The sequence below is a fragment of the Homo sapiens genome, chromosome 2 (genome assembly GCF_000001405.40).
Source record: "Homo sapiens chromosome 2, GRCh38.p14 Primary Assembly".
Lineage (NCBI taxonomy): Eukaryota > Metazoa > Chordata > Mammalia > Primates > Hominidae > Homo > Homo sapiens.
The window spans coordinates 119,556,764-119,578,586 of NC_000002.12; the positions used below are offsets into that span (position 1 = coordinate 119,556,764).

General features: G+C 41.5%; 1 protein-coding gene across 12 annotated transcripts in view, besides 3 other annotated features; it reads left to right on the top strand.

Moving 5' to 3' along the window:
* The window catches only part of CFAP221 (cilia and flagella associated protein 221), a 115,875-nt gene that overhangs the window by 12,315 nt on the left and 81,737 nt on the right, over nucleotides 1-21,823 (top strand). For all 12 annotated transcript variants that reach the window (NR_073132.2, XR_922883.4, NR_073133.2 and 9 more), the window contains 3 exons: nucleotides 2,926-3,012; nucleotides 3,165-3,263; nucleotides 5,251-5,351. Coding sequence is in view for 9 of the 12 variants with exons in the window: in XM_006712353.4 (XP_006712416.1) it covers nucleotides 2,926-3,012; nucleotides 3,165-3,263; nucleotides 5,251-5,351 (287 nt within the window). In the remaining 3 variants the exon portion in view is untranslated. The remainder of the gene's footprint in view (nucleotides 1-2,925; nucleotides 3,013-3,164; nucleotides 3,264-5,250; nucleotides 5,352-21,823) is intronic.
* Nucleotides 17,366-17,415: an enhancer, noted in NCBI's record as "active region_16452". NCBI's record gives its function as "activates an Ori minimal core promoter by ATAC-STARR-seq in GM12878 lymphoblastoid cells {active_cell/tissue: GM12878}" and the evidence as "EXISTENCE:reporter gene assay evidence [ECO:0000049][PMID:35858748]".
* Nucleotides 17,546-17,595: a silencer, noted in NCBI's record as "silent region_11907". NCBI's record gives its function as "represses an Ori minimal core promoter by ATAC-STARR-seq in GM12878 lymphoblastoid cells {active_cell/tissue: GM12878}" and the evidence as "EXISTENCE:reporter gene assay evidence [ECO:0000049][PMID:35858748]".
* Nucleotides 17,826-17,935: a silencer, noted in NCBI's record as "silent region_11908". NCBI's record gives its function as "represses an Ori minimal core promoter by ATAC-STARR-seq in GM12878 lymphoblastoid cells {active_cell/tissue: GM12878}" and the evidence as "EXISTENCE:reporter gene assay evidence [ECO:0000049][PMID:35858748]".

Consider the following 21,823-nt stretch of genomic DNA (forward strand, 5'->3'; position numbering starts at 1 on the left):
CTGGTCTCAAACTCCTGACCTCAGGTGATCCACCTGCCTTGACCTCCCAAAGTGCTGGGATTACAGGTGTGAGCCACTGTGCCCAGCCCTCCTATTGCAAATTTTTTACTCACTTGACAATATAGATATTATGTCATGAATTCTAGCATGCCCCCTTCATGTTCAAATGGGTAGTGGGTAGATTTGGATTTGCTGTGACATACTCATGTTGGAGGAAAGGTCAAGTCTCTTTATTTGTCCATAGGTGCTGGCTGGATCTCCAGTCTTGGGAGTTTAGGTTCCTGTCTTCCTTGGGACCATTCAGGAATACTGGAAAAATGGAGCGAACCCAGCAGCTTTGAGGACAGATCTCTGTTCTGGTCTTCTGCCCATAATGTCGCTTGTTGGAAACTGATTTAAGCCAGTGAGCTTATTTCTAATTGTCAGGCAGATATTGAGAGTCTGACCCTGACAGCATGTGGGAGTCATAGGTCCACTCCTCAGCAGCCTTGCTACAGGTGGTCGGCTGCAGCGAACAGGTCTGAGAAGACACTCTGCAACACATATGAACACTTACTAGCAAGCAGGCAAAAAGATCATTGTGTTTGTAATCTCACGAAGTCCCAGCTGCAGTTCCTAGTGGGGAGGCTTTGATGGCCGCAGGTATGACAACTGGCTGACCGAATACTTTAGTAAAGTGCAGAGCATGGGGGACTAAGGGAGTCTGGGGCCCTTGAATGTCATTCTAAAGGATATTGGTCTTTTGCACTCACCAGATTGTCATACCCCTTTTGTTTGAGAGTGGAAATGCCTGGATAATATTTCTAGTTAATCCATAGATTCTGAGTATCCTTTCTGCTACTATAGAAGACTCTCCAGAATGGATTTAGGTGGCATAATTGAAACACTCTGATGGCTGCCTGTGGAGTGTAGATGCTGGGTTAGGATCCTTCAGTGCTCACAAAGCACTCCTAGAAGCCAGGCACGGTGGCTTACGCCTGTAATCCCAGCACTTTGGGAGTCCGAGGTGGGTGGATCATGAGGTCAGGAGTTCGAGACCAGCCTGACCAACATGGTGAAACCCCATCTGTCTCTACTAAAAATACAAAAGTTAGCTGGGCCAGGAGAATCACTTGAACCTGGGAGGCAGAGGCTGCAGTGAGCGAAGATCGCGCCACTGCACTCCAGCCTGGGCAACAGAGCAAGACTCCGTCTCAAAAAAAAAAAAAAAAAAAGCACCCCTAGAGTGCAGATTGCTGATTTCCTCTAAGCTTAACCACTCCCAGGGTACATATTAAAACCAGCTTATGCACCCTTGTTTGTTGCAGTGTTCTTACTGAATTATTTTTAAGTAATAACAGATGATAGAACCACTTCCACTTCCAGCTCTTCCTGGACTCCAGCTTGAGGACTTCACAGCCCTCCCCCAATGAGAAGCATGGGGACAAAGCTCTTTGTTAAGATTCCAGGCCTGGGGCTGAGTGGCCCCTCTCCATCCTCAGGCGGGCCCTGTCATCCCAGGACTCTGAGTGTGATGGACTCAGCAAACCTCTCCTCCCAGTCTCTCTCAAAAGGGCTGCTCTCATGGGTCTGGCCCCTGGGAACTCATATCTTCACCAAGACTGCCCATGTGCAGGGCCCCTTGGAGGCCAAGAGAAGCCTGGGAAACTTTTTGTTTGGGCTTTTAACAAGTTTCGTAAGAAAGGGAAGATACACCAAAACAGGGTCACAAAAATTGTAGTGCTTTAAGAATGTTCACATGTAATAAATAAGAACTTTTTAAACACATGCATGACCAGACACAGTGGCTTACACCTGTAATCCCAGCACTTTCAGAGGCCAACGTGAGAAGACCCTTTGAGCCCAGGAGTTCGAGACCAGCCTGGACAACATAATGAGACCCCATCTCTACAAAAAATAAAAAATAAAAATTAGCTGGGCATGGTGGTGCATGCCTATAATCCCAGCTACTCAGGAGCAAATGCAGGAGGTTTGCTTGAACGCAGGAGTTCGAGGCTTCAGTGAGCTATGATTGTGCCACTGCACTGCAGCCCGAGCAACACAGAAAGACCCTGTCTCAAAAATAAAAAACAAAAAACCAACAACAACAACAAAAAAACACAGGCAAACACAGTGTACCCTCATCAGGAGAGAATGTCTAAAGTCTAATTTAGGGCATTGAAGAATGTCAGTCCTCAAGCAATGGGACTTCCAAGCCCCTGGGACAGACCCAGCGTCTGGCCTAGACTTCAGAAACCAAAGGTCTCTTAACCTTCTCCTGGCCCAGGCAAAGCCCAGATCCCCAGAATTCAAAATTCTTGTGTCCCTTTCAAACGAAGGAAGGAAAAACACCTTTCCTCAGAGACCCAGCTGACATATCCACCAGATGATCCTGCCTCACAGGGATGGCCTTCTCCTGTCACTGTCAGAGAATTCCCACCCTCAACTTCCTTTTCATCTGCCCAGGCGTGGATTGGAGGCTGTCTTAGTCACGTTCTTTTTCCTGACTTTCTGATGGTCTCAGTGTCCTCTGGGCCCCTAAACCAGTGGCATGTAATTAGAGAACCTTTAGGAATTGGTGCCTGACTTAGCTCGATTGAATCGCAGGACTAAATTGAATTAAACAAAAAGCACTTGCAGTAACATTCAGGACTGTGGGGAGGGGGCCCTAAAGGATGCTAAGTCTCGGGCTGGGGTGGGAGGGTACTGCAGGTATTGTTCCTAAGGGGGAAAGTGGGGACATGGGGCACGTTTTATAATTCTTGAAATGGTGTGTGTTATGTTTATTATTTTTTAAATGGTGTATGATGTATTTCAAATATTTTGAAAAGTTAAATATAGGATATCTCCTCAAATTCTTTTAGGAACAGATGAAGTCTACATAAATGAGGTGAGTATGCAAATAAAGCCGTGTATTTCCTCTAAATACTTCTTTTTCTCTCCCAGCATCTGGTCAATGTTTCCAATGAAGACACACGTGTTCATATTTTACCCCCGCAAACCAAATACTTTGAGATCAATTATGTAAGAAAGGTAAGCGTCATTGGTTTACCTGTTCTCCCACGGTGTGGTTGTCTGCGTCTCAGGCCTGTGTGGGGTGGGGGGTGTGTGGTGTGTTGTCACCCCCGGTGCTGCTCTCTGTGCAGTCCGGGGCTTGTCCCAACAAGATGCCACCTGTCTTCCAGGAACACCACCTGGTCCCTGGCTTGTCCCTCACGGTCACCGTTACATTTTCTCCAGATGAGTGGCGATACTATTATGACTGCATCCGTGTTCACTGTAAGGTAGGTCTCTTAAAATTGCTTTTTTTTTTTTTTTTTTTTGATGGTGGGTTAAAACTTACATTCTCAATGGTGGCAGAAAGAGAGGTGGAATGACCACTGAGAGCTTTCTTGGCCCAGTACCGGGTGTTCCCCAGGTCACCAGTGTGACTGGCGTGCAAAGCTTGTTGCCCAGTGACATGGCCCAAGATGGGAAAGTGTTAGGCTGCAGAGGACCTGGACAGAGTCAGGAGACGCGGTTTGCTGCAGGCTTCCCACTGCCCTGTGCCTAAAGCTTCATCTATCATGTGGTGCTGGCAGTTGCCGAAGCCTTTTCAAATAACTTCAACATACTCCCTTAAATGCTAGGTTGAAAAATTTACAACCATCCAAGTTATGATTATAAACACCAGCCACTGGCCTATGCCTGGGAATGTCTGCAGAGGCAGCCCTGGTGCAGGGGATGGGGGTGGTTCCGGGAGGTGGGGACTGTTTGAGTTCTTCTGAGCCTTTCCTAGGTCACCTAATTCATCCTTTGGCCTCCAGCCAGAGCTGCCGTCATTCCTTCTCTTAAAACTGTCCCCTCTGCCCCTCCCTTTGCTCTATAGTCCAGACCCCAGTCTTCAGCTTGAGAAGCCATTAGGTTAGCTAAATTATTGATGTTTCAAAACCAAAACAGAAGAGTATACATTAGTAACAAATGAGTTTCTACTTTTTTTCTTTTCAGGCAAATTTCCTACAATCTGCACAATAAGGTGACTTGCCGTGAAAGCATTTCACTTTTTCTTTCCAAAAAAGTTATAAAAATTTGCAAAGTTAACTTTTATAAATTGATAGTGTTGTCTCTGACTCACTTCGTCATATTAGAGATGCATTTCCATAGGGGGAGGGAAAGAATCTTAGACCCAACATACCCACAATAGTATTTTAGATCAAGAAGCACATTTCCTTAAGAATATGATAGACCATTATTATTTTTTTGGAGTTTCAATTAAAAAAAAAATGGCCAGGCGCGATGGCTCATGTGTGTAATCCCTGCACTTTGGGAGGCCGAGGTGGGTGGATCACCTGAGGTCAGGAGTTTGAGACTAGCCTGGCCAACATGGTGAAACCCCATCTCTACTAAAAATACAAAAAATTAGCCAGGCCTAGTGGCATGCACCTGTAGTCCCAGCTACTCGGGAGGCTGAGGCAGGAGAATCACTTGAACTCAGGAGGTGGAGGTTGCGGTGAGCCAAGGTTGCACCACTGCACTCCAGCCTGGGCAACAAAGCGAGACTCCATCTCAAAAAAAAATAAAAAAATAAAAACAAAACCAGAATATTGCTTTCAGATGGAATATTCTGTGCTGAACAGAAGAAGAATGCCTAGAACAGGCATTGTATAAAATGCCAGGACACATTTCCTGTTACTACCAAATAATGCTAATAATAATACCTCACTTTTATGCAGTACTTTTGACATTTTAATGCCATCATCTGCTTTAATTCTTAAAAATGCCTTTAAGGAAAAATATGATTATCTCCATTTTGCAAAGAAAGAAACTATGCCTGGAGAGGTTAAAAGTCCTTCTGAAGGTTAACGTCATATGAGACAAGAAGCAAGTTTCTGTGCCCTCTTGCCAATACATTGTTTTCTATTCTGTGCTGTCTGGATCAGATGATTCTGTGCTGGTTTCTCTTTTTCTTGGGCCACTAAAGACTGTGTTTCTTTATAATTTTCTGAAATAGAAGCAGATAGATTACTGTCTTCATATCTCTATGAGGCGTCATTATCTTTAGCTTCCTTGGATAATAGCGAACATCATTTCAATAAAGAGTACTTAAAATTTTCTACGCTTTGTTTATGGCTAAGAAAACTCAGTATGTCTAATGTTGTAGTTAAGCGCTGAAGTTTCTTAAGGAAATATTTTTTAACGATGGAAACAAGATAAGAAATAAAGCATCTACAAGTTTGTCTAAAAGTTGTAGTCTTCAGAATGTTAAACTTGACTTTTTCTGGTTAATTTTAGGGAGATGACACTTTGCTTGTTCCTATTCATGCCTATCCAGTCATGAACTCACTAGACTTTCCTTCATTTATAAATCTGTCAAATGTTCTACTTGGTGAAAGGTGAGTTACCAAAATGTCAACAAAATGTATAGGATGTGAAAAACTAAGAGATACTCATACAAAACCTTAGACTTTTGTTTTTCCTAATGGAAGTTCATCCTTCCACCTGAAATAGACTGGACTTGTCATTGTAAAAGGCAAAAAAAAAAAAAGCAAAAGCAAAAACCAAACATGCGTCAAAAGATCATAAGCAAGAAAGGGAATTTATTGGGTCAATTAACTGAAAGGTGCAGTCCGGGTGGATCTTCAGGTGCCTCTGGATCTAGGGATTTAAATCCGGTTGCAGGAGCCTGACTCTCCCCATATCTTAGTTCCACCATCTTGCGCTTCATTCTCAACAGGTCCCCTTCATGGGGGCAAGACAGCCTCCAGTAGCTCCAGACATTAGCCTGGGGATGAGGTGATTGGAGAGGGTGGAGGGGTTGGGGGCATTCAAGCAAAACCCCAGGACTGAGGCTTATCAGACCTCATATACCCATCCATTAACCAATCTGTTTTGGAGACAAAGGCAAAGACAACAGAATTTCACTATAGGAGCCAATGCTCAGATTCTCTCCTTTTTTTGGTGAATGATTCCAATGTAATTTAAGGAATGTCTTGTTCTTTCAGTATATACTAAAAGTCTGTCCCTAGATGGATATTGAGCTGTTAGATATTGATATATAGTTGCCCTTCAATATCCATAGAGGATTGATTGGTTCCAGGACCCCCCACAGGGTCCATGGATGCTCTAATCCCTTATGTCAAATGGCATAGAGTGGGCCTGGTGGCTCACGCTTGTAATCCCAACACTGTAGGAGGCCGAGGCAGAGGATGGCTTGAGCCCAGGACTTTGAGACCAGCCTGAACAACAAAAAAGACCCCATCTCTACAAAATAAAAATTTAGAAGTTAGCCAGGTATGGTGATGTGTGCCTGTAGTCCCAGCTACTTGGTAGGCTGAGGCAGGAGGATTGCTAGAGCCGAGGAGTTTGAGGCTGCAATGGGCTGTGATCACACCACTACACTCCAGCCTGGGTGACAGAGTGAGATCCTGTCTCTAAAATATAAAAAATAAAATGGCATAGTATTTACATATAACCTATGCACATTCTCCTGTGTACTTCAAATCATCTCTAGATTACTTATAATGCTAATACAATGTAAACACTATGTAAATAGTTGTCATACTGTATAGTTTAGGTAATAATGACAAGGCAAAAAGTCTATACATGTTCAGTACAGAGATAGCCATCCATTGCTTTTTCATATATTTTTGATCTGTGGTTGGTTAAATCCATGGATATGGAACCCTCAAATGCAGAGGGCCTAGTGTATAATGGCCATGCCAGTTGTTAAAATATTTAAATACTTCTGTACTGGTTGGAAAATATATACTGTCCTGAGTCCCCTATCCCTCCACCCCACCTACCTGGACTCTCCCCTGCCCCCACCTGCCTCCTCCCCATTGATGCAGCAACTAAGGGGTTAATACCTAGCAATTTAGGAGTGGAGGAGGACATCTGCAGGACCTGGTTCCAGCTTTATACAGTATTCACTCTGATTGATTGCTGTCTGTGAAGTGCTGATGGGTTGATATTTTGAATATCACTCATGGTGAAAAGAAGACTAAATAAAGGCTCCAGTTCTGGAGGCCTCAGAGTCTAATGGGGATAGGACCATGTCATCAATTAATCACTCCAGTTGCTAAGAACAACTCATACAGGAGGTGACAGCTGGGTTATCCTCCAAGGATGCCATGGGCTGGGGACAAGAGGATGGCACCGCAGGCAGAGAAAGAGCCTCTGCAAAGGCGTGATGGCAGCAGAGAGCATGGACTCCATCTTGCAGGTGATGAATGGCCACTGGGAGATTTTAATCCACTCAGTAGCTGGTAAATGCCAGATCCCTCTAGATATAGGGCCAGCAGGTAGATAAAGACTGTGGGCTTCAGCAGGCTTATGGAGGGGGAAGCAAGGCCTAAAGAGCCTGCAGGCAGCACTGAGCAGGGGACTGTAAGCTGCTGATGACCGGGTGGATCAAGTTAGAAAGAGCAGCCACAGAACCCTTTTAGTGGTGGTAGAGGCTTATGGACCGTGCATATGAGCTTTGAGGTCCTTCTTTTTCAGTACAACCTGCTGTCCTTGAATGGAACTCCAAAGTTTAGATCTGGAACAATTTCCTTGGTTCAGCTGTTGCGTTGCCCTCCTCTCTGCCCCCTCCAGAGTGAGACAGTAAGCTTCTCACTCACTCTCTCTGCTTACTTTTGTTTTTAAAAAGCTCTTTAAAAATTGTAAAATAAATAATACATATAAAATAATCTATAATAATTTGCACAGTTTGAATAATAATAATAACAATGAATACTGGTTTTAAGGCATGAAATATGACCATTACCTTTGCAATCACTCTTCTGAATCTTGTAATAACCATTCCCTGGGTTTACTTTAGTAGTTTTGATGCATGCACATGCACCCCTAAATCATACATTGTTTAGCTTTGCCAGTTTTTGATCTTTACATAGATGGAATCCTACCGTGTAAGTTCTTTTGTAACCTGCGTTTTTCATTCAACATTATGTTTTTGCGGTTCAGCCACATTATTATACACAGTTGTAGCTCACTGCTATATACTGTCCACTGTATGAATTCACCACAGTTTTTTATCCACTCCACTGCTGATGGACCGATGGGTAGTTTCCACTATTTTGTTTTGTTTTGTTTTGTTTTTGCTATGCTGAACATTGCTGGCATATATCCTTGTAAAGTACATGGCTCCTGTACACATGTTCTAGAGCTTCTCCAGGGTATATACCTAAATGGGGAATTGCAGGTCACAGCACAGATTGGGTTACTATGTAATGGCTGTCTGTTTTCTAAAATGGTTGTAGGCCTTTACACACCCACCTGCAGTGTGTGAGGATTTCTGTTTCTCCTACATTGTTGCTAACAATGGGAACTATCAGACTTCTGCATTTTTGGTGACTTTTACATTCTTAGCCCCGTGCTCTTCCATTCTCTCTTTATTTTTCCCAAAAAGTTCTGCAAGAACTCCACCACAGTACTTCCTCCTTCCCACTCACCAACCCTTCCTGTGTTCGCTCACTCCTCCTCAGTATTAAATGGTCTGTGCAGGGACCCCAAGAGTTTAAAAAGGTGAATCCTTCCTTGCAGGGTCCACTCACTCTCTGAATTTTGAGAACAGATATTTCCTTTGAGTGGGCAAATATAGCAATTTTTATCAAAGTTGAAGTGGCAGAAAACAACTAACTCCCTAGTTCATTAATTCTTTTTTATTTTCTTCTTTTTTCCCCTCTATAAATTACTTTTTGTTTGGATCATAAGCCAGGCTTATGAGTTGAGAACAATGATTTATAAAACTGGTGAAAATAATATGCCTAATAATGCAGACATCATCCTTGGGCTCTTAATACAAAAATGTACCAACCTCCCTAGAGGCTGTTCCCAAGCTACTTTGTATATAACACCATTCATTTGTAACCAGAATGAAAATTTCAGCTAAACAGTTTATTTAACTGTGTTATTGTATATAATGATGTGATATTTTTAAAAAATCTTTCAAAAGATAAGCATGCTACTGTTTTCCTCCAGACATTCTGGCAGCAGGCATAGCCTTCCAAGACTTCATACCCTTAACGTAATGGCTTATAATCAACTTTTAACTACTCAAACTGTCCTATGCTACATTCAATCCAAAATGTGTGGTAACAGGACAGGGGGTGACTACTAGAACACGTTTTCAGCTAAAGTGTTTTCTATTAATCCTAGGCTACCCTGGGGTTGAAGGTATCATTTGGGTGGGCTGTTTATTCAGTATTCATTCAGTCGGTTAACAAACCTTTATTGAATGCCTTCCATGTGCCAGGCACAGTGTTAGGTTCTGAGGATGCAGAGATGATCAAGACCTGGTACCATGACTAAATAGACAGTTTCCATTCCTAATTCAGTGTATGCTGAAAAGGGATGACCCGGCTTGGTTGAGGTCAGTTGGGGGCAGGTAGGATGAGGAGCTCAGGCACCACTTCCAGGAGGAGGACATGCCTGAGCTGAGTTTGGAAATTTGACTAGAAATGAGCCAGCAAAAGGAGGGTGTGGAGTAGAAAAGAAGAGGGGGTGTCCCAGGAATCGTCATCTGTAGAAAATATTAAAGCAATCAACTCTACTAAAAGTGAGTCGGCTTTTGCATGTTACCATGCACTAACAATTCTGAATATTGCCAGTGATAAAAATACTCCTCCTGCAAGGGTGGACTTGCTCCCGACCACCGCCTCTGATGCATGAGAAGCTATCTCCTTAAATGCCAGTCTCACCTTTGGTCTCCTAGCTTGCCACTCTCATTTTTGTTCGTGTCACAGCACTTTGTTTCCTGTGAGAGCCATCGAGCTATCCTACTCTGTGCTGACTGCAGTCCAGCCTTGCTCCTTCTCTGCCTTAGCATGAGTACCCCCCCAGCTCCTACAGACATGAGCAGCCTCAACGTGGCTCCATTCCTTTCTGCAGGGGCAGTTTGTCATTGGATTATGGGCCTAGAAATGTGCACCTCTGAGTGCTGCCTCTTGGCCCGTGTCCCAGCTACCTGGCAGCTTCTGAGCCCTACCTCACTGGTCTTTCCTACCCGCACACCCCACTCAGAGGCAACTCCTGGGTCAGTGCCTCTTTTGGCTTAACCGTCTACTTGTCATGATGTCTTTCAGAGATGGGACTTCTGACCGTGCTTGCAGGGTTTTTTTTTTCCTTCTAAGTTTTAGATTTTATTTTTATTGTATTGTATCAAAATATATGTAGCATAAAATTTACCATCTTAACCATTTTTATGACTATTTATCTTACCATAATAGGGCCTGGAGATTTTTGAAGACTTTATATTCTTATAGCAGTTTTTAATTCATAGCAAAATTGAAAGGAATGTACAGAGATTTCCCATATCTCCCTGCCCCATGCATGCAGAGCTTCTCCTTATCAACAACCCCCACCCAAGTGCCGTATTTGTTACAATCAATGAACCTACATTGACACATCATTATCACCCAAAGTCCATAGTTTAGGGTTCACTCTTGGTGCTGTATAGCCTGTGGGTCTGGACAAATGTGTGGCATATGTCCACCATTGTAGTATCATACAGAGTATTTTCACTGCTCTAAAAATCCCATGCTTCTATTCATTCCTCCTCCAACCCCCACAACCACTGGCAACCACTGTTTATTTTTTTTACTGTCACCATAGTTTTTCAGAATGTCATATAGTTGGAATCATATAGTATTTAGTCTTTTTCTGATTGGGTGCTTTCACTTAAAATATGCATTTAAGTTTCCTCCATATCTTTTCAGGGCTTGGTAGCTGATTTATTTTCAGTGCTGTATAATATTCCATAGTATAGATGTACTACAGTTTACTTATTCATCCACCTACTGAATGGCATCTTGGCAGCTTCTAAGTTTTGGTAATTATGAATAAAACTGCATTAAACATCCATATGCAGGTTTTTGTGTGGATGTAAGTTTTCAATTCCTTTGGGTAGATACCAAAGAACATGATTATTGGATTGTATGGTAAGAGTATGTTTAGTTTTAAAAGAAACTACCAAACTATCTTCCAAAATGTCTACAGTGATCTACTCTGATGATTTCCTTTAATTGGTGCAGTTAGACTACTGATGTTCACAGTGATTACTGATATAGTTCTATTAATATCTAGCATATTTGTTAGTTTTGTAATTGTTGCCCTTGTACTTTGGTTCTCTTTTTATCTTCCACTATTTATCTTCCTGTGGTTTTAACCATGTATTTTATGTGATTCCATTTTCTCTCTTTTCTTTTAGCATACCAGTTATATTTCTTTGTTTCCTTTTTTTAGTGGTTGCCCTAGAGTTTGCAAAATGTATTTACAACTAATCCAAGCCACTTTCAAATAACACTGTACTGCTTCACAGATAGTTTGAGTACCTTAAGATAGCAAAATAATCCTAATTTCTTCCTCTCCTCTCATGTATAACTGCTGTCACTCATTTCACTTATATATAAGTATACATTAGCATTATGTATACACATATCTGTGACTATTTGAACGTATAAGATATATACATAAGAACACATAATTGAAGTCATTGTTGCTATTATCCTGAACAAACTGTTAGCTGTTAGATCAATTAAAAATAAAAAATAAAAGTTTTAATTTTACCTTCATTTTTTCCTTCTTCAGTGTTCTTCCTTTATTTTTATTTTTATTTTTATTTTAAGTTCTGGGATACATGTGCAGGATGTGCAGGTTTGTTACATAGGTAAATGTGTGCCATGGTGGTTTGCTGTACCTAACAACCCATCACCTAGGTATTAAGCCCAGCATGCATTAGCTATTTTTCCTAATGCTCTCCCTCCCCGTGCCCCCCACCTCCCGACAGGCCCCAGTGTGTGTTGTTCCCCTCCCTGTGTCCATGTGTTTTCATTGTTCAGTTCCCACTTATATGTGAGAACATGCAGTGTTTGATTTTCTGTTCCTGTGTTAGTTGGCTGAGGATAATGGCTTCCAGATCCATCCATGTTCCTGCAAAGGACATTATTTCATTCCTTTTTATGGCTGGATAGTATTCCATGGTGTATACGTACCACATTGTCTTTATCCAGCCTATCATTGATGGGCATTTGGGTTGATTCCATGTCTTCGTTATTGTGAATAGTGCTGCAACGATTGTTCTTTCTTTATGTAAGTTCAAGTTTTGACCCATATTATATTAATTTTCTCTAAAGAACTTCTTTTAACGTTTCTCGCAAGGCAGGTCCACTGGCAACAAATTCCCTTGGTCATTTTTGTCCGAGAAAGTTTTTATTTCCCCTTCACTTTTGAAGGATAATTTCACAGGGCACAGAATTCTGAGTCGGTGGTTTTTTTTCCTCTCAACACTTTAAATATTTCACTCCACTCTCTTCTTGCTTCCATGGTTTCTGAGGATAAGTCTGATGTAATTCTTATCTTTGTTTCTCTACTGGGAAATTTTTTTTTCCCTCTGACTTCTTTCAATTTATTTATTTATTTATTTATTTTTGAGATGGAGTCTCGCTCTGTCACCCAGGCTGGAGTGCAGTGGCACAATCTCGGCTCATTGCAACCTCTGTCTCCTGGGTTCACACCATTCTCCTGCCTCAGGGACTACAGGCACCCACCACCACACCCAGCTAATTTTTTGTATTTTTAGTAGAGATGGGGTTTCACCGTGTTAGCCAGGATGGCCTTGATCTCCTGACCTTGTGATCCACCCACCTCGACCTCCCAAAGTGCTGGGATTACAGATGTGAGCCACCGCACCGGCCTTCTTTCAATATTTTTTTTTCTCTCTGGTTCTCTGTAGTTTGAAGACAGTATGCCTAAGTGTAGGGTTTTTTGCCTTTTTTTCTTTTCTTTTGCATTTATCCTCAGTGGTTTGATGTCTGACATTCATTTATGGAAATTATTAGGCATTGTTTTAAATATTTCTTCTATTTTTTTTCTTTCTTCTCCATCTGGCATTCCCATTACATGTATAATATACCTTTTGTAGTTGTCCCACAGTTTTTGGATATTCTGTTTTTGTTTTTGTTTTTCAGTCTTTTTTCCTCTTTATTTTTCTGTTTTAGAAGTTTCTATTGATATATCCTCAAGCTCAGAGATTCTCTCCTTAGCTGTGTCCAACCTGCTAATAAGCCTATCAAAGGCATTCTTCATTTCTGTTATTATGTTTTTGATCACTAGAATTTCTTTTTGGTTCTTCTTTAGGATTTCCATCTCTCTGCTTACACTTCCCATTTTTTCTTGCATGCTGTCTACTTATCCATAGAGCCCTTAGCATATTAATTATAGTTGTTTTAAATTCCCTGTCTGATAATTTTAGCATTTCTGCCATTTCTGGTTCTGATGCTTCCTTTGTCTCTTCAAACTGTTTTTTGCCTTTTAGTATGTCTTGTAATTTTTCCTTGATAGCCAGACATCATGTACTGGGTAAAAGGAACTGCTGTAAGCAGACTTTTATAATGTGTTGGTAAAGTCACAGCAGGAGGGTATTCTACAATCCTGTGATTAAGTCTCAGTCTCTTAGTGAGCCTGTGCCTCTGGACTGTGAACTTCACAAGTACTTCTTAGTTGTCCCTCACCTGCTTAGGTGAGACAGAATGGCTAGTGGGCTGGAGCTAAGTCTTTTCATTCTCCCATGTGAAGACTAGAGCTAGCTAGAACTGGGTATTTCTCTTTCTGATTTCACAGCATGAACAAAGACACACTTATACTTTCCAAAAAAGTCTTATTCAGGTATAATTCACATATGATAAAATTTGCTAATTTAAAATGTACGATTCACTCTTTTTTAGTATATGCAACTATCACCACATGCAAGTTTAGAACATTTTTATAACCCCCCCAAAAAAACCCATACCAACACCTATATCCCACTCTCAAACTTTCCAGCCTCAGCCAAAGCTGATTTTACTTTCCATCTCTATAAATTTGCCTGTTCTGGACATTTTATATAAATGGAACCATACAACATGAGGTCTAGTGTGACTGATTTCTTTCACTTTGCAATCATGTTTTCAAAGGCCATCAACTTGTAGCTTATCCAACTCAAATCACTACTTCATTCTTTTTCATTGCTGAATAACATTTCATTTAATGGATATAACACATTTTATTTATCCATTCATCAGTTGATAAACATATGGGTTGTTTCTACTTTGGGGCAATTATGAATAATGGTGCTATGAACATTTGTGTATATGTTTTTATAAGGATACATATTTTCATTTCTCTTGGTAAATACCTAGAAGTGGAATTGTTAGGTCATATGGTAAATCTATGTTTAATATTTTAAGAACTGCCAGACTGTTTTGCAAAGTGGCTGTACCATTTACATTTCCACCAGCAATGTATGAAGGTGGATCTCTTGAGCTCAGGAGTTCAAGACCAGCCTGGCCAACATGGTGAAATCCCATCTCCACCAAAAAATACAAAAAAGTTAGCTAGGTGTGGTTACACCGTTAAATTAGTATAACAACCCCCTTTTTTTTTTTTTTTTTTTTTTTTGAGCTGGAGTTTCACTCTTGTCACCCAGGCTAGAGTGCAGTGGTGCAATCTCGGCTCACTCAACCTCCGCCTCCCGGGTTCAAGTAATTGTCTTGCCTCAGTCTCCCAAGTAGCTGGGACTACAGGTGTGCGACACCACACTCAACTAATTTTTGTATTTTTAGTAGAGACGGGGTTTCGCCCTGTTGGTCAGTCTGGTCTCGAATTCCTGACCTCAGGTGATCCACCCACCTCCGCCTCCCAGAGTGCTGGCATTACAGGCATGAGCCACCACGCCCGGCCAACAACCACTTTTTTTTTCAAGCTTTTTTTCTTGAGACAGAGTTTCACTCTGTCACCCAGGCTAGAGGGCAGTGTCAGGATCTCGGCTCACTGCAACCTCTGCCTTTCAGGCTCAAACAATCCTCCCACCTCAGCCTCCTGAGTAGCTTGGACCACAGACATGCACCACCACACCTAGCTAACTTTTTTGTATTTTTTGGTGGAGATGGGATTTCACCATGTTGGCCAGGCTGGTCTTGAACTCCTGAGCTCAAGAGATCCACCTGTCTTGGCCTCCCAAAGTGCTGGGATTACAGGCGTGAGCCACCACACCCAGCCTAACAACTACTTCACAGCTAAAAAAGAAATACTGTACATGATGAGAAAGCACAAAGCTGATGGGAGACCATAAATTCAGCAAAAGGTGAATTCAGAAGGGTATGTTTTCCCTTTCACATAGAATCAATTGGGACAGAATTGTCAGAGGTTGTAGGATTTGTGTTTAATACCACTAATTCTGCTTTCTTACTTTGGGGTTGCCCCTTACTTTGGGGCTGCCCCTTACTTTGGGGCTGCTTTTGCAGTCTGGGGAGAACCTCTCTTAGGGTAGGATGAGACCTCAGCACATTTTCCCCAAGGTCCTGAATTGGGCTGGTATGTATTCGTCAGATGCATTTTCAGTGGCTGGATTTGATGGTTATAAATTTTCCTTACTGAGATAAAATTCTATGTGGGCACTTGCCAGCCACCTATAAACAACTTTGGTGGCTTGAGGTCTGGTAAAATGTATTTTGACAGCCTCTGTAAATAACAGAAAGTTGCATTCCAGTTTCTGTCCAACATTTCCAAGTCAAACACAGCATCTGTGGGGTGCAGAGGACTTTCAGTTCTCTTTCCCTTCTGTAGGTTGAAACTGTGCTTTATAACTAGATATCCTAACCATTATGGCTGGTTAAAATTTATAATTATTCAATATCTTAAAGAGTATTATAGATAAAATACAATCTCAATCTTCTTATAATAAGTAAATATGGATATGCTTATATTAGATACAGAAATTTTATATTTTTCCATTCCCATGGTTCTAAAAAGATTCATGTTAATTCATCATGCTCTGTAGTTTACCCAACAGCGTCTTCCTGGTACCAGATAACTAGTTGAAACTTGGAGCAGGTCCAGTTGGTTGACCAGTTGCTCTCCCATCAACTCATTTTCCTTGCACCAAGATGACTTTAACCAATTGGTTAGCGTGCTCTAGACAAACCTGCCTGAAACTCACCTGGGGAAGTGATGACAAATCCAGGAGAGGATCCACTGTGGATCTGGTGGCTGAAGATCTGGTAAAATGATGCCATGGGCAAGGCCGCCATGGGCTCCTGCAGCAAGTGGACCATGTACTCATCTCAAGGCTATAGAGGCTCTGTAGCCTGCAGGGCCACATTAACAACATTCACAGAAGAGGCTCCTGGTGACTCCATTCCAAAGCCAGGATACTTTAGCTTCTTGAACTTTTATGTCATAAGGTCAGAAATTTACCAAAGGATGCTTTTCCTTACTTAGTGAATCTTATGGCTCCTTTTAGAAAGCGTGGGAACAACCAAGGTCAGAATATGATGTTTGAGTGTAACCAAATTCTCCTACTGCCCCTGGAGCTTAAAGCATCTGGGCCACATGGGAATGTGCACTCTTAAGCTAGTGCTAAGAAGGAAGATTGATGGTGAGAGTTTGCCCCCACGTAGACAGCCCCCAGTCTTGCATTGTGCCAATAAACAGTCTCTAGGAGAGGGGGCTGAGAACCAGCTGTAACTGGGTTAAAATGCAGATGTCAGGAGAAGACGATCAAATTGATGTTCACAAGTGTTTTTTGAAGCCCTCCCTACTCGGAGAGAAAAAATTCACTTTTTTCAGCTTGTCAAGGGAAACACTGCTTACTCATATGAGGGACTCATTTTATGTGCCCCAAGCTTGAAGTTGATGGAAAGGAGCAGCAGCATTTTATGAAAGCATCTGACCAGGGTGACGTGAGCTCACGACATAGTCGTTCTTTACTTTCACCCCTATTTGGGTGTAGAATCCACAGTGAGCTTTTATTGCAAATTGATATTTGCATAAAACAATTCTTGTCATTTAACAACAGCCTAGCTGGGTGCACCTGTAGTCTCAGCTACTCAGGAGGCTGAGGCAGGAGGATCACTTGAGCCCAGGAGTTCGAGGATGTAGTGAGCTCTGATGGTGCCACTGCACTCTAGCCTGCAACAGAGCGAGACCTCATCACTAAGAAGTAAAGAATTTTTAAAAAGCCTAAATGTTTATTATAGGAAAAATTCTTCCATACATTGTTGTGTAAAACTTCTTTAATTTAATATACCTTTGCTGACCTAATGTCAGTCTAGTTACTCATCTTGACCCAGTCTCTTTTATGAATTTTAGCAAGAAAAGAAAATCATCCAACCTCTAAACTATAGGGATCTGTAATGCAATAATAAAAGGGCCTACATATTTCTTCCTTTCATTTACCGAAGTGGGCGCCACCTTGATATAGTCAACAAAGGGAACTTTCAGTGGAAGACTTGGGTTATTCTTTTCAAAATTTTCTCACAAAATGTTAAATTCTAGACTTGTGGTTCCTAGAGAAAGCAAATGATAGACTGAAAAACCTAAGATGAAGAAAGCCAGTGTTGACCTTATAAAAGCCTACCTTGAAAATGGTGATACTCTGCTCTCCTCCCCTAGACTTTGTGCAAATGGGTCAATTGGTTTGCATGAGGCCAAGGGGTGGAGTGGTACAAATCTGGGAACAACGTCTAGAGCAGATGATTGTATGTACCAGGGGCAGTGGTTACAGGTGGAACCTTTTTCTTGTTTAGGGTTTTCTGTCTAGTCTGTATAAACTCTTGGAATGATTCATTACATTCAACAGCATGTACACATTGTGGCTTCTGTGAAACTACCAAGCTAGTATCAGTACTGAGAAGTAAGAAACTTTAAACTACTATTAGAAAAAGTGTTCATGGATGAATTCCCACGAATATTTAAGAATATAACATAGGGAATTTCAGAGTCTGCGCCACAGTACATTCCTGGAAGGAGCAAAGGTGACAGTTGTGGATGGTTTTTGGCCCTGGAGAGACACCCCTACATTGAGAGTGCTTTCTGGGTTCTCTTCCTCCTTGCCTGATTAATACAGCTGTCAAACCTGACACCTGAACACTGCACAAGTAGCCACCTTTGGCCACTGCTTCTGCTGCAGCAGCCCAGGTTTGTAGTATCTGCACACACATGCATGCACACACACACACACTCACATACATGCACTTTTAATGTAGTTTCTAGCATGTGATTATGTAATGCTTGTCAAAATATTTAGAATAGAGTAACTACCAACCCATTCACTGAACTGACTATAATTTCTTAAATAATTTTTTAAATTAAATCTGCCCCAAATTTCTCACCCCAGATTCTTATATACTGCAATTTCAAAACCACAAGTATTTGAATTTAAGTTGCTTTGTTTTTTAAAAATGGATTTCTTACTCCAGCACCAAGTGAGCTTCTTGTTTTAATTATTGCTGGTGGGTAAGGTATTGGGACCAGTAAACTGGCAGCTGGGGATCCTGCCGGCTGTTTCAGGCCAAACGTTATTATGGGTCATTTAGCTCTGAGGAAGTGTGGTTTGAAGATGGTCAGTGTGTGGTTTCTTCTGCTGCCTACTCTAAGAGAAAAGGCTAGCAGCAGTTTTTAGTGTGTCCTCTTATCTTTCCCCAATAAATGCTATAGTTTTCTCAACAAAAAAAGAAATTAGTCTGCAGGATGCTTTTCATGTCCCTTCACATCCATCTTAGCTGCCTTCCTCCCCTCGACCATGGCTTTCGCTCCTGATGCCAGCTCGCCGTGTTCTCGGGCCCCAGCCACAGGCCCTTGCTCCCACCTCCAGTCGGCCCTCCTGAATCTCCTTCCTCACCCCACCTTCCTCCATGTTATCTGCAACTCTGGTGAGGTGCAAAGAGCTATTGTCAAATGTGTTAATTATATTAATACTTTCATCTTAAGTGCAGTTAATATTTAATTTTTCATCAGTATTTTATACTGTATAATTTCACTCCTATGAAGTATTTAGAGTAGTCAGATTCACAGAGACAAAATAAAATGGTGGTTGCCCGGGGCTGTGGGGAAGCAGAATGGGGAGTTGGTGTTTAATGAATATAGCATTTCAGTTTTGCAAGATGAAAAAGTTTTGTGGGCAGACAGTGGTAATAGTTTCACAATAGCATGGCTGTACTTAATGCCACTGAATGGTACACTTAAAATGGTTAAAATAGTACATTTTATATTATGTACATTTTACCACATTTGTTTTAAAAACCTGTGTTTTTGAAATATGAATAGGGTACATATGATCTCTGCAGATGACAGATATCATGTCATCTGGTCACCTCTAACTTGTTCTGAATTCAAGTTAGCTTCCAGAGAAATGCCTTCACTTCCTTTACCAAGTATGAAGAGGTGGCCTTATTTAATTCAGTTTGTTCCCTAGTGTCTTCAGAATTCTTCCTTTTCTTAAATTTCTGGGACAGAGGTGAAGGTGGAGGGGTGGGAGCAGCTTTACCAATAGGTGGGACTAAGTCAGGTTGAAGAGGGAACTGAACTAAGAGCTAGGAAGTCAAAGGTCAGGCCAGGAGAGAAACCATCAAGCCCCCTTGACTCTTCCATTCCACTCACTTTTTTCTTTTAACCTTAAACTAAAGTTTTATTTGGGAATTTTAACTTCATTTCTTTTCCTTCAACTTTTATTTTAGGTTCGGGGATACATGCACATATTTGTTACACAGGTAAACCCATTTCACAGGGGTTTATTTTACAGATCATTTCATTACCCAGGTACTATGCCTAGTACCTAATAGCCAGTAGTTACTTTTCCTGCCCCTCTCCCTCCTCTCACCCTCCACACTCCATAGGCCCCAGGGTGTGTTGTTCACCTCTGTGTGTTCACGTGTTCTCATCATTCAGCTCTCACTTACAAGTGAAAACATGCGGTATTTGGTTTTCTGTTTCTGCATTAGTTTGCTATTTGATTCCCTTTACCTCTAATATTGGTCTAAGTTTAATCTAAAATGAGGGTGGTGTTTAATTCTCTAGGTGTAAAAAATAAGTAAATGCTTGTTACTTAAACGTTTCTTTATGTAAATTTGTGTTTATCTTTATTTGATTATATCATTAAAGTTTGTGGGACTACCGTACTTCTGGTCTGAGGCTCCAATCCCAGTGAGATTGATTGTGTCTTTGAAAACAAGATAAGCAACACAGGAAAGTTCAAAAGAACATAAATTATCTTAGATAAAAGAGCATTATTTGAAAGTTAAAACCTATTTTACCCTCAGCTCTTTATAGCTCTTCAAATTGTTGCCCGTTTCTTTGGGGATTAGGGTTTAATCAGACAGCTAATATTGTGTCTTATTTCCTTCTGTTTTTGTTGATCACATTCTGAATATAGCAATTTATATCTAAAGCTTAAATGAAAATAACTGGCGAGTTCCCTGACTTTCTTCCTTCTCTCTATGTGTATGCCGGTCCTTGAGAGGAGGTTGGTAACATTTTATAAAAGGTCTTGGCATTTGCCTCAGCTCCAGCTGCTATAGCAAATTCCCATAGACTGGGAGGCTTAAAGAACAGACATTTCTCACATATCTAGACTGAGAATTGTGAGATCAGGGGCCAGCATGGCTGAGCTCTGGTGGGGGCCCTCTACCAGCTTTCCTCACATGGGGTGGTGGGGAGGGGCTCCAGTCCCTTCCTCTTCCTAAAAGGACACTAATCCCATCAGAGGGTGCCACCCTCATGACCTCATCTAAACCAAATCACCTTCCTAAGTCCCCACCTCCATCATGGGAATTGGGGCTTCCACATATGAATTTTGAGGAGACACAAACAGTCCATAGTGGGATGTTATAGTCCTTTTTTGATGGTTGCTTATTAGAAGAAATGCCCTCTAAAAAGCTTAACAAACAAGGCACAGAGGGATCAGTTTCAAAGAGAGCAGCAGGAGGGAAGGGGACTGCAATGTAAACAACGCAATGCCAGGAGCTTTTCTGTAATATTAGAGACCTACAAGAGGGGCTATAGTACAGCAGGTAAGAGCTCAGGTTCTAGAGACCTGGCTTGAAAACTCCACTTCACCATTTATTAACCATGTGACCTTGGACCTCTCTATAGATCAGTTTATGTATCTATAAAATGAGGATAATAATAGTACTTACCTCATAGGGTTGTTAAGAGAGTTAGATGACATATAAGCACAACAGCTGGTACATATTAAGAGATAGTACCAAAACAAAGACTTTAAGATTGCCAAATTAAGATGGCATCCAGAAATGGGGTAAGATAATCATTCGCTGAAGGAGAAATGAAGCAGGAAAGAGAATGTTCTTTGGTTTCCTTTTTCTGTATAAAAACCACCCCGAAGGTAGTAGCTTAATGTATTATAACAACAGTAATTTATTTTGCTCATGGATCTACAACTTGGGCATGGCCTGATGGGGAGTGCTCCTCTCTGCTCCATGCACAGCCAGCTAGGGCTGCTCAACTGGGAGCTGAAAGACCCACTCTCAAGATGGTCCACTCAAATACTGGCTATTATCTGGGAGCTCAGATGGCCTGAGGGCTGGAAGTCTGGTTCTGTCCTGGTAGGTCTCTCCACAGGCTACTTGGGCTTCCTTACAACATGGTGACAAGGCTCTAGAATGAGCATCCCAAGAGAAATGGAAGATACCAGTTGCTTAGGCCTTGGCCTTAAGAAACAGGTACAGCATCATTTCCACTGTATTCTATTAGTTAAGTAGTCCTAGAGCCCAGAATCAAGGAAGAACACATAGACTCCACCTCTAAGTGGAAAGAGTGTTGAAGAGTTTGTAGACTTATTTGAAACCTGCCACAACAGGTAACCCCAAAGCTTGCCCAGGCTCGGATTATTTCCTGAGTCTTCTGTACCTTCAGAGGGGAAAGAATGGCACACGATACATCATTGTTGTCCACATCCTTTGATCTATGAATGATTCTCATATCAATGAGCAGTTGACAATGGAAAAGTCCTACTAAATTGACTTAACCCTAAAATGAGATCACTGGGCCTATTAACTCCAAGCTTCACTTGGTAGTGATACCACCACATGTT